At 44.6% G+C, this 12,442-nt stretch overlaps 1 protein-coding gene and 1 non-coding gene across 20 annotated transcripts in view, besides 2 other annotated features; both read right to left on the bottom strand.

Annotated features, from left to right (window-relative positions):
* The window catches only part of SLC9A8 (solute carrier family 9 member A8), a 79,415-nt gene that overhangs the window by 20,553 nt on the left and 46,420 nt on the right, over positions 1-12,442 (bottom strand). For 8 of the 19 annotated variants that reach the window (XM_011528736.3, XM_011528738.3, XM_006723756.2 and 5 more), the window contains 3 exons: positions 12,087-12,190; positions 8,623-8,756; positions 6,846-6,951 (listed from right to left, as the gene is read on the bottom strand). In XM_011528736.3, the coding sequence (XP_011527038.1) occupies positions 6,846-6,951; positions 8,623-8,756; positions 12,087-12,190 (344 nt within the window). Of the gene's footprint in view, positions 1-6,845; positions 6,963-8,622; positions 8,762-8,913; positions 8,993-12,086; positions 12,191-12,442 lie in introns of those variants that run through there. The other 11 variants (NR_048537.2, NR_048540.2, NR_048538.2 and 8 more) reach the window with 4 other exon arrangements.
* Positions 3,541-3,590: an enhancer, noted in NCBI's record as "active region_18076". NCBI's record gives its function as "activates an Ori minimal core promoter by ATAC-STARR-seq in GM12878 lymphoblastoid cells {active_cell/tissue: GM12878}" and the evidence as "EXISTENCE:reporter gene assay evidence [ECO:0000049][PMID:35858748]".
* Positions 3,831-3,940: an enhancer, noted in NCBI's record as "active region_18075". NCBI's record gives its function as "activates an Ori minimal core promoter by ATAC-STARR-seq in GM12878 lymphoblastoid cells {active_cell/tissue: GM12878}" and the evidence as "EXISTENCE:reporter gene assay evidence [ECO:0000049][PMID:35858748]".
* MIR12122 (microRNA 12122) lies at positions 7,737-7,831 on the bottom strand. Its single transcript, NR_162136.1, has one exon. It is a non-coding gene; the product is annotated as a microRNA 12122 (primary transcript).

Raw genomic sequence — 12,442 nt, 5'->3', positions numbered from 1 at the left:
GAAAGAGGGTCAGCAGCAGGCACAAAAGCCAGAGGGATGGCTCAAGTATCTGCCTCATATGCCCTCCAGAAGCAAAGGGGACTCTCCACCACCCACATCACCCTCATCTGCGGCCAGTGGAGCAGGCTACAGAAACACAAAAGCGGGGGTTGGTGCAAACCAGGATAACTTTTTTAAGTGAGGTAAAAGGCATGGTATTTGAAAAAATACGCTTAAGGAAGAATTTCCTTTAAGAATTAGGCAAAATCGTTTAAGAAAGCAAATGCAGCAAAAGCGTTCAGCCTCCTGAAGGAAGAATGGCAGAAAAGAAAGGGAGAGAGGAAATCCACTTCTGTTTATGGTTACATCCACTGTTCTAGATGTAATAAAGGAAGACAGTATGGGATTCAAGTCCAAAAGGCAGTGAAAAGGTATCATGGTACAATTTACACTGTACCGTGCCTTACTGTATGTAAAATATAACATACTTCTTGAGGGCTGAGTGAAACCGTAATGAGTACGCTGTGTTAATTACTCAATAATAAACATATTTTGCCATAAAACATTCAGACTCACTGAGGTACAGAGTAAAAGACAATCTATTCATACTGCCCGCTCAGACGTAACTACTCTTAACTACTATTAACACTTCAATATGCAGACTGCCAGTTCTTTTACCATGTGATTATAAAGTTTATCTTTAAAGTAATAGGCTTGGCATGGTGGCTCACACTTGTAATCCCAGGACTTTGGGAGGCCAAAGTGGGTGGATTGCTTGAGCCCAGGAGTTTGAGACCAGCCTGAACAACAGAGTGAGACTGGCTCTACAAAAAATACAAAACTAGTTGGGTGTGGTAGCACGTGCCTATAGTCCCAGCTACTCAGGAGGCTGAGGTGGAAGGATCACCTAAACCTGGGGAGGTCAAGGCTGCAGTGAGACGTGATTGTGCCACTGCACTCCAGCCTGGGTAACAGAGCATGATCCTGTCTCAAAAAATAAAATTAAAATAAAATAAAACTAAAGTAATAAACAGGATCCTATCACATATATGGTGCCTATTACCAGCAGAGTGATTTTTTTTCAAGGGCTTCCAACTCTCTTGTCGTGGTGCATATACTAGAAACCCAGCTCCTTCTCAGGCCTGCAGAACCTGTGAGGCAGCGTCCTGGCCACACTGGTCTTCCTTCTCTTCCTGGAGCATGCCACACTCCCGCACATCTATCTTCAGACCCCTGGCTCCTGCAGTTCCTGCTGCCAAAACCCTCCTTCCCTAGAGCGTCCCTGGGCTGGCTCCTCTCGCCACACAGGTCTGGGCTCCAGTGCCACCTCCAGGGGAGACCTCCCTGACTGCCTGAGATCCCATCCATTCTCTACCACATGCCACTCTCTGTCACATGGCTTTAATTTCTCTTCTTGTCATTTCTTGCCACCTGGAATTGTTGTATGGGTTTGCTTAAATTCTGGCTTTCTTCTGCAAGAAAAGGAAACTGATCTTGTGTTGTTTATAAATGTAGCCCCAACAGCAAGGATAGTTCTCAGCATAGGGTGGACATTTAATAAGTATTTCTTGAATGGGCGAGAGTTTGATTTTTCAACTTACTTTTAAAAAATTTAACAATATGTCAAATTCTTTCCATGGCAGTACAGACAGGTCAAGTTCATTTTTTAAGTAGCTGCACAGGATTCCATAGTGCAAATGGACTGGAATTTGATCTTTTCCATTACTGATGAACATATAGTTCCTTCCAGTTTTTCTCTCCCAAGCAGTGCTGCAATGGAATTCCTTAGATATCTGTGCAGAAGAGCACTGCACCATACATTCTATCTTTGGCCAACTTCATGCCAGTATCTTTTTATTTTTATTTTATTTTTTTTTTTGAGATGGAGTCTTGCTCTGTCGCCAGGCTAGAGTGCAGTGGCAGGATCTCGGCTCACTGCAACCTCTGCTTCCCTGGTTCAAGCAATTCTCCTGCCTCAGCCTGCCGAGTAGCTGGGACTACCAGCACGTGCCACCATGCCCAGATAATATTTTGTATTTTTAGTAGAGATGGGGTTTCACCATATTAGCCAGAATGGTTTTGATCTCTTGACCTCGTGATCCACCTGCCTTGGCCTCCCAAAGTGCTGGGATTATAGGTGTGAGCCACTGCGCCTGGCCCATGCCAACATCTTAAGAAAGTGTTATGTTGGCCGGGCGCGGTGGCTCACGCCTGTAATCCCAGCACTTTGGGAGGCCGAGGCGGACAGATCACGAGGTCAGGAGTTCAAGATCAGCCTGGCCAAGATGGTGAAACCCTGTCTCTACTAAAAATACAAAAAAAAAATTAGTCGGGCGTGGTGGTGGGCACCTGTAATCCCAGCTACTCGGAAGGCTGAGGCAGAGAATTGCTTGAACCTGGGAGGCAGAGGTCGCAGTGAGCCGAGATGGCACCACTGCACTCCAGACTGGGCTACAGAGCGAAACTCTGCCTCAAAAAGAAAGAAAGAAAGAAAGAAAGTGTTATCTCATGATTAATCTTGCAAACTCATCCTTCAAGCCCAAAGTCCCCTCCTCTGTGACTCACCTTGACAGAGTGTCACTCTCTCCCATCCCCTGCAAGCCCAGTGTTCGCTAACTGCTCTGCCTAAGTGGGGTCTATTCATCTTTGAATCTTTAGTGTCAGAGGCCAAAGTGGCCCTCAAAACTGGCTTGACTGAACAATAAAAATAGTTAACATGGATACAGTCAGAACAAATATTCTGAGAATAGCTAACGCTTGCTGAGTTATAATTAGGGAGACTGTTTGATTTGCTGTGGATACCAGGACATTTTTTAGAATAAACGGGGATATTATTAATTCATCATATTGAGACAGAGGGCAAACCAGGACTTCTGGCCACCCCAGCAGTGGCACAGATGCCCCATCAGGACTCTCACTTGCATCGCTCCCCACTCCTCAGCAAAGGCGTCAGGCTGGCCCTTTTGTCTATTTTATAATGAGGAAGTAGAGCATGGGGTGGTTAAGTCTGTAATCTGAGGTTACACAGCCAATAAGAGGTGGAGCTGGGATTCAAATCCAAGTCTGTCTGTTATCCAGCCCCAGTCCTTAGCAACTGTGTTCCCTACATGTGGATTTAGGTAAATAATTCCCACTTCCTAGGAAGAGAATGTCCTGCTCCATGGTCTTGGGAACCACTTGAGATCAGTCCTTTGTGATAGTCAGGAAAAGGGGAGCACACAAAGGAAGGTGAAGACAGCAGAAACCACCCTTTCCATCTGTGCTTTCACAGTGCAATGTGGGGCGTCCACACACCACACAGGGCCATCCTGCCCCTCTCTGAAAACCCTGCGTGACAAATACCCAAAAGGCAAAGTGCGGACAGAGCAGGTTCCCTCACCCAGAGGCAGATCTGGTGTTCCTGGCTTGCACTGCTGTGTGTGGAGCAAGGTCCCTAAGGAAATGAAACCCCTCTCAACAGGAAACACTGCCAGTCTGAAAAGAAGGTAAGAAAAACACTCCCTTATTTTAATCACAGATTCCAAACAGATGCATGAAACACATCTTTGCCAACAGGTACTCAATGATCTTCTCAAGGGGGTAGAGGAACAATTTAGAAAAACAGATGTAAAAATAGCTAGGCTAGAGCCGAATGACTCACAGGTAACGTTTTTGTAAGTGCCAACATTCAGTAAAGAAAGGGAACCTCATGGCAGACACCAGGATGGAATTACCCTGGTGAACTGGTCTGCGATGAAAAACAAAACCCTGAAAATGGTGAGTCCACTCTGCTTCCTCCTTGTGCTGCTCATGCAGCACCCAAGTGTGACTCCGGATAGCGACTGGGTAGAAAAGTTCTGTCAACTGAGTCACTAGAGACCACTGGGCCTTCAGCTTTGCGTCTGAAGAAATTACTGCTACACAGAACACTGTCCTGCTCTACATAACTAGAAAACCTGATACAAGATATGAAACAAAACTATTTTCTGACATGGGACAAAAGATAGGGTAGGACTGTGATTCCTGCCGGAAGGGAGACAAAGGTGGCCACTCTTTCCCTAGGCCCCCTGCTGAGCTGACTGCCTGAGGCTGAGGCTTTAAGAGGGCTGTCCTGTTGAGTCGGGGAAGCTGCACAGAAAGAGAGCTCTTGGACATCTACTGTAAAGTCCCCTTGAGTCTTTGACTGATACTGATCAGTAAATATGTCGGATGAAACAAGAAGCTGGGGAAAGAACCATTAAAAAGAAGTAGGCTGAACAATTCCAGAAGCTGACATGGGTGGGAATAGTTTGCGTTCCCACCAGCCAGAGTGGAGTGAGCTCACGGTACCTGAGACACCTTAGTTAGGGCCCTGCTACTCTGCACCAGCCCTAAAAAAGTTTAAATGTAAGCCTCAAGAAGGATTAAACTGATGTCAAGAGACTTAGATACGTGCCAGAAGAAAAGTCCAGAAATAACACACACACACAAAAAAAATTGTTTTTAAAAGAAAAGTCCAGAACTCCGTAAAGGAATACAATAAAATCTTGTGCTCAACAACATAAAACTTCACAATGACTGACATCCAATCAAAACTTAATAACAAGCAAAGAGCAAGAAAATGTGACCTATAAGCACAAGAAAAATCAACAACAAAACAGACCTACAGTTGACAGAGATGACGGAATTAGCAAACAAGGACATTAAAACAGCTATCAGAAATTTCTATGTTTCATATGCTCCAGAATATAGAAGAAAACATGAACATGATGAAGAGAGAAATGGAAGAAATGAAAATAACCTAAAGGGATCTGCTGTAGATGAATTATAAAATATGTAAATGAGAAATACGCTGGGTAGGATTAGCAGGAGATTCCACATGGCAGAAGATCAGTGACTTTGAAGATACGGCAACAGGAAATAACCAAAATTAAGCACATAGGGAAAAAAAGAAAAAAAGGCAAAGCATATTGTGGGCCAATAGCATGCTACCTCTCATAACTGGAGTAAACTGAAGTCTCAAGGGGAAGAGGAAGGCGGAACAAAAAAATATTGATAAAGAAATGGGCAAAAGCTTACCAAATTTGATGAAAGCTATAAACTCATATAAACTATAAACCCAAAAAACTCAATGAACCCAAGGCGAATATAAAAATAACCACACCAAAGCACATCTAAATGCAGTTGCTACACACCTATCAGGACAGCTAAACTTTTTTAAATTAAAATAAGTGTGGTGGCAATATGAAGCAACTGGCACTCTCTCATACATTCTGAGGAATGTAAAATGATACAGTCACTTCGAAAAACACTAGGCAGTTTCTAAAAAAGTAAAAATGTACTTACCATATGACCTAGCAGCCTTAATCCTAGGTATTTACCCAAGATAAATGAAAACACATGCACACTGTTCTTAGCCCAAATCTGGAAAACCCCAAATGCCCTTCAAATGATGAACAGACAAACTGTGGTGCAATAAGAACGATAAACTACTGCCACACGCAAAAACACGGATGTCTCTCAAAAACGTAACTGAAAGAGAGGAGACACAAAAGACTACGTACCACATGATTTCATTTAAACTACAATGACAGTGCAGGATCAGTGGGTGCCAGGGCTCAGGACAGGCAGGTGGACTGACTGCAGAAGGGCACAGGGGAGCCACACTGGGCGATAAGAATATGCCACACCTCGACTGTGGGGGTAGTTATGACTGTCCACATTTGCAAAAATTCATGGAACTATATACTTAGAACGGGTCCATGTATTGTGTGTAAATTATACCTCAACGAAGTTAATAAAAAAGAAAATCTCTGCCATCTTGTGGCACAGATCAAAACATCCCTGCAATAGTGCCTCCTTTCCAGAACAAGGCCTCTGAAGGGCCTTCACTCAAAGGATGGGATCAGACTTCCAGGGCAGAGCCCTTCCCAACTGGCTGCCCCCTCACACAGGAACAGGGGTGAGTCACGCTCCATTTTCAGGTCAACATCCTTACAACGTAACAAGCTGTGGACGCAAGCTTGACTGCCACTTGTAGGCAGAAAGCCCAACTAAGCCAAGCCTGATTGGGCTGCTGAGTGATTACCAGGTGACGGCTCCAAGATCATTACGCTGTGACTGGCCACCCCTCCTCCAGCTGGTGAGCATCATCTTCTAGGGCCGCATCAGAGTCGTCTCTGCTGCTGAGAGCTGTGTGCCCTCCTCCAATGGGGTGCAGGGAAAAGGCTCTGGGCCTCCACTGTCAATCTCACTACCACCACTGCTTGTGCAGTGCAGCTTTGGGCTAATGACAACCTCTTAGTACCTACTTCACAGGGCTGGTATCAGCATAAAAAAACTGAATACTGGTAAAGTGTGTCCAATAAACGCCCAACATTACGCCACCACCACACTTTGCTTGTCCCTCTATGTAGCACTGAGTACATGGTTTCATGATGATCTGTTTTGGAGGGAGTTGTATTAGAGGGTTCTAAGCACTAGTTCTTGACTCCAAGACAACTAGTTTGAATCGTTGTTCCACCAATCCCAGCTGTGACCTTGAGTAATTTACTTAATCTCACTCAACCTCAGTTTTCTCATCAGTAAAACAGGGACCTTCACAGTACCTCCCTCCTACAAGGCTACCCTCCTCTGAGGGAGCCTCACAGGACTGATGGGCTAAATGAGAGAAGGCGGGTTAAGAGAAAATGTGACCGTGACACCAATGTGACTGTTTGAGCCCCTGGATCCAGGCAGGCCTAAATCCAGATGTGTTTCTAGGGAACCAATAGATTTCCTTTATTACTTAAGCTCTTCTGAGTTGTGACTGTCTCTTGTGACTAAAAGTGACCCAACTGACAAAGCCTCTTTCCCCAGGCAGGACAAGATGCCATCACCACAGCACTTTCAGGCTCTCTGTCACTTACCTGAGAGTGAGATTCCTTCTGCAAGCCCATAAGGCAGATAAGCAAAAATGATCATCATGCCAAACTCCAAGGAAGGCGTTTTCCTCAAGTCAATATGCTTCAGCACGTAAATGACAACTGTCAAGGAAGGAGAATCGAGGGAGAGTTGATGGGAGATGTGGAGAAGTCACAAAACTGCTGCTTTCCAAATATATGAAGTAAACAACAGATATAGATTTTAGAATGTCCCAAGGTTACAAATGGAAATTTGTCATTATGGATTTTTTCCTTTGTAGGGAGACTGTTGCTATAAGAAAGGGAATCTGACAAAACACTAAGAAATGTAAATTCCGGAGATAAATGGTGGTGGAAGATGAAAATCAACCTAAGTCAACTCATTTAAAAACGCTGACTTAGAGGGCTGGGGATGTGCCGGGCCATGGCGCAAAGCTGGGGCTGCAGACACACCAAGGACAGCTCACTTGGCCAGGTTCCTCCCAGGGCCGGCATCACCCCCACTCCTCCAACAACATCGGATGAGATCACTAATGCTACCCATCTTGCTTTCCCCATCAGTTTTGAGTCAAAGACAACTAGTGAGAATCGCTGTTCAAACTGAGGTTCGAGGCCCTGTTGAAGCACAGTATTTCCTATTCCTGGAGATTTCCAAACTCATGCCCCTGTGAAAGGAGAGAGCCTTCTATATATTGAAACATCATTCACAATGCCTATACTGGAGCTCACAGTACCCATTTGCTCCACTTCATTTTGATAGATACTTTTTTTTTTTAAAGAAAAAGATAAATATAGAGGAAAATACTGAACTGGAAAAAATTTTCTTTTCCATTCTGTTTATTGGTACAATATGAGAAGCTGTCAGCCAACTCAATAGAGCCCTTAGACTTCTGGACAAAGGAGTTGATGGGAAAATTCAACAGGATGGCAGAAAAACATGCCTGTAACCAGGCAAAAGAGTCTCTTCCGGCCATCTGTGACACAAACTGCTCGTGGAGGCGGGCCAGGTGGCCATCTCCCTGAGACGTAGGCTTAGGTGCGCACCGAAGTGGTCTACTGCCTGTTACTATTTTAAACATAATGAAATTTCTACAGCAATAAAGGTGACATTGGCCTTAACAAGCCTCTTTCCATCTCCAGCTGGAAAAGCTTATTGGTTGTCAAACAACAAAATCAGTGCAAATAACTCAATGGAACACACTTTGAAAGCCCCTTTTGCAATCCTTCTGGATAAACACTTTCAGTGGGATAAAAATTTTCTCTATTTGGCATTTTATTTTTATTTATGTATTTTTTAGAGATGAGGTCTCACTATATTCCATTGCTAAGGCTGGTCTTGAACTCCTGGGCGAAAGCAATCCTCTGGCCTTAGCCTCTCAAAGTGCTGGGATTACAGGCATGAGCCACTGCACCTGGTCTATTTGACATTTTCAAAGAAAATTAATTTCCAGTTTTCCAAATGTGAAAAGTAAGATGGCAGAAAACGAAAATCATCGGAGTGTGGTTATCATACTCTGGGAACTGAGAGGTCCCCAAAATCACATCTGATATCCAACAGTGTACATGTTTTTTAAACTTTGAAAAGTGACATCCTAAATTTCACGTTAGATTAAAAAATCCTTGAGTTAGAGTGTTTCTCAAACAAAAACTAAGCAAAAAAATCCTCCTTTAAGCAAAATCTTCATCTAAAATTGGCCCCCTTAAAAAACAGGAGAAACTGGCTAGAGACAGAAGTTATCAGGAATAATTTTAACCCTGCATGTTCATCACATTAAAAGGATATTAATGCAGAAATTAAGCCAGTGAGAGTGCCGAGCGCTGCAGAGCCAAAGAACATTTTGAGGAAGTAGTCAAGGGCTTGTAAAAATGTTTGCCACCCACTGACATCTGACATATTTTTTCTTGTTAAACCTTCAGCTGTGCTAGGAAATGAAAGAAAACAGAAATAAATTAAAATGTTATATACACAAAGTTCTTAGAAATTAACTTAAAACATTTCTTGCTTATTCGCTCATTCATTCATTCATTCATACCATCATTCATTCAGTCAGCCAAACGTTTATTGTTCACCTACTTTGTCCCAGGTACTGTTATTTTCTGGGGTTCAGAGATGAGAGCAAAGCTGCTGCCCTTAAGGAGCTCCTCCCCTCAGGCTAATGAGGGAGAAAAACAAGATGAACACTAATGACAATCCGCGGGAGGGGTAGAGGGCTGTAGAAAAGCAGGGTGGGTAGGTAACTAACTCAGACTGGCCGGGCTCAAGGAAGGTGCTTGAGAAAATGTGGGCTGATGCCGGGCGTGGTGGCTCACACCTGTAATCCCAGCACTTTGGGAGGCCGAGGTGAGCAGATCACTTGAGGGCAGGAGTTCAGACCAGCCTGGCCAACATGGTGAAACCCCGTCTCTACTAAAAATACGAAAACTATCTGGGTGTGGTGGTGCACGCCTGTAATCCCAGCTACTCGGGAGGCTGAGGCAGGAGAATCGCTTGAACCCAGGAGGCAGAGGTTGCAGTGGGCCAAGATCGCACAACTACACTCCAGCCTGGGCAACAGAGCAAGACTCTGTCTCAAAAAAATAAAAAATAAAAAAGGCCGGGGGCTGGGTTTAGATTTGGGATAAAGACGACTTGCCCAGGTGAAGAAATGGGGGAAGGCACCCAGTGAGGGAACAGCATGTGCAAAGGAAGAGAGCCCATGCATATGCAACCCATTGTAGGAACTTTCAAGTACCAAGATTAGTGCAGCTAAAACGCAGCGGTGGGGTGGGGGTGGGACAGTGGCAGGAGGCAAGGTGAGAAGAGTGGCAGAGGGACAGGAAAGAGCCCAGGAAAGGTGCTGGTATTTCAGCTTGAAGGCCTGGGGAGTCGATAGGAAGGATTTCAGTACAGAAATCCTGTGATAAAACCTGAAATTGAGGCTATGGCAAGTCAGATTAGAATGGAGCTACCCAAAGAAGAAATGTCCGAGGTTTCAGGCTGAGAGGGAGGATTTAGGAGACATTAAGGAGGAAGAAATGAAAGAAAGAACTTTCCTTTTACTGTAACAGAACAAAGTAAAATGTCAGATGTTATTAAATTCAATTGTTGGTTTTGTCCTTAAAGATAAAACCATTACACCATGAACATCGAGTTATTCTCATTAAATATCCTCCTCGTGTCTCTCAAATCCATTCCCTTCTTCCCTCCCCTACTGCCCTTTACTCCCAGGGATAAGTCTCACTGATCTCCTTCTAGACATCCTTGCCTTCCTACAGACCAACCCCGTTGTCCACTCAGTGGCCTAGATGATCCCCCTCTTTTTGTTTTTGAGACAGGGTCTCACTCTGTCACCCAGGCAGAAGTGCAGTGGCATGATCTCAGCTCACTGCAACCTCTGCTTCCCAGGCTCATGTGATCCTCCCACCTCAGCCCCAGAGTAGCTGAGACCACAAGCATACATCACCACACCCAGTTAGTTTTTGTATTTTCTGTAGAGATGGGATTTCACCATATTGCCCAGGCTGGTCTCGAACTCCTGGGCTCAAGTGATTCGCCTGCCTCAACATCCCAAAGTGCTAGAAATACAGGCCCTAACTGATCCTTTTCAAAGGCACACCTGATCAGGTTACCAGCCTGTTCAGAACTCACAGTTTCCCGACGTTATCAGGAAGCCCAGTCTTAGTTTGACTTGGCTCCTGCCTGCCATACCTCTCTGACCTTACCTCCTCTCCCCAAATCTAAACATCTGGGCCACACTGTCACTGGCACCTCCCAGGTGGTCACCATTCACTTTTCCTTGCCCCAGCTAACTCCCTTATTCATCCCTCAGAACCCAGGGTCAGTGCCACTCCCTCAGGCACACCTGCCCTGATCCCTTCACGCAGGCCTGCCCATTTAAAGGTTGTCATGGTGCTTGACTTCTCCTTCACAGCATGGGAAACTGTCGTGCCTCATTCCATGAGGATGAAGCCTGTGTCCATCTTGTTCGCTGCCTTATGTCCGGGGCTTAAAGCAGAGCCTCCCACACAAAAGACAGTCAATACCTTTTTGTTGACTCAGTAAATGAAACAAAGAATAGTCAACAGTAATATTCAGCTTCATCAATCACCATGTCATGAATCGATATCATTTTATTATTATTATTATTTTTGAGATGGAGTCTCGCTCTGTTGCTCAGGCTGGAGTGCAGTGGTGCGATCTCAGCTCACTGCAACCTCTGTCTCCAGGGTTCAAGCAATTCTCCTGCGTCAGCCTCCCAAGTAGCTGGGACTACAGATGCGCACCACCGTGCCCAGCTAATTTTTTTTTGTATTTTTAGTAGAGACGGGGTTTCACCATGTTAGCCAGGCTGGTATGGAACTCTTACCCTCAAGTGATCCACCTGCCTTGGCCTCCCAAAGTGCTGGGATTACAGACATGAACCACCATGCCAGGCCCCAGGATTGGTATCATTTTAAAGCAGAATAAGATGAAAAGGTAGCTTGGTCAAATAAACTCAGAAAGCCTTTCGAGGAAATTCACAGCCCAAAATAACATAATAAAGGTCTGAGAAGTCTTGCAAAAAAGAAATCTAACTTTCTTCACGTGAAAGCTTTGCAGACTCATCTGAACAAACAATCTCCCCAATCCCCCTTCTTTCTAGCAGATCACAGGTTAACATCCCACCTTGAGGAATGTGGCAGCCAACAAGGGCTCATATTGGAAAAGTGCTTTTGAAGGCCATGATCACCCATAGTTCCCAAAAATGGATCTGCAGGTCACACACATACAGTGCCCAGCCTCAGCCCACATCACTACCACAGCAGGTACCCAGGCTGGTTTCACTGCTTTTTATACAGAGTAGCCTGAGGCCCAAAGAGAGTGAGTCACTGGGTAAGGTCACACAAAGGGTTAACAGCAGATCCAGGGCTGGGGCAATGGTTTCTGAACTCCAGGTAATGAAAGTAGAATTTGGACTCTTTCTGGCCTGGTAATTTTCTACATTTTGTTTCTTAAGGTCATGTTTCTCATACCTTAAAGAATAAAAGGGAGTATTGCTTCAGGGTCCATTTCATGAGCTTAAGCTGTAGCTGGAGAAAACAAAAGGTTTCCTCTACAGCAGTGACTTTAAGAACACACTATCATAGCAACAAATCAAAGCTGAAAATGAATTCAAGTTACCGAAGAAACAGAAGACATTTGCTTTCTGGCATTCATGAAGGTAACAACATCAAAAAGGGGGTAACTCATTTACATATTCAGTTGCAAAGATAAATGTGTCAGCTCACTTTGGAGATGATCGTTTATGAAGTATACCTCTTCAAAACCAGGTATGATTCTGATAACCAAGGAAAGGTGACAACAGCTCCCAGGAGCATATTTTTCTTCTGTACTAAAAAAAAAAAAAAAGGTGGAGGGGGAGGCGGGGGTAAGTCTGACATGCCCCTTTTCTGTATCTTCTGTCTGAAAATAAGCCTCCCAGGCCTGGCTCACAAGACGTTCCTTCTGAGAAGCCTTCCTCATATCCTTCATGGTCTGGTCATTGAGCCCCCTCATGCTTAAGGCACCATGTTCACTTCTCTACGGGCATCTTTTGCCCATCATGGACCGACTGTCAAATCCACCTGGCTCTCAGCAGTGTCTG

Source organism: Homo sapiens, chromosome 20, assembly GCF_000001405.40.
Source record: "Homo sapiens chromosome 20, GRCh38.p14 Primary Assembly".
Classification (NCBI taxonomy): Eukaryota; Metazoa; Chordata; class Mammalia; order Primates; family Hominidae; genus Homo; species Homo sapiens.
The sequence above is the reverse complement of the archived record's forward strand: the minus strand, read 5'-3'. Positions and strand labels throughout refer to the sequence as shown.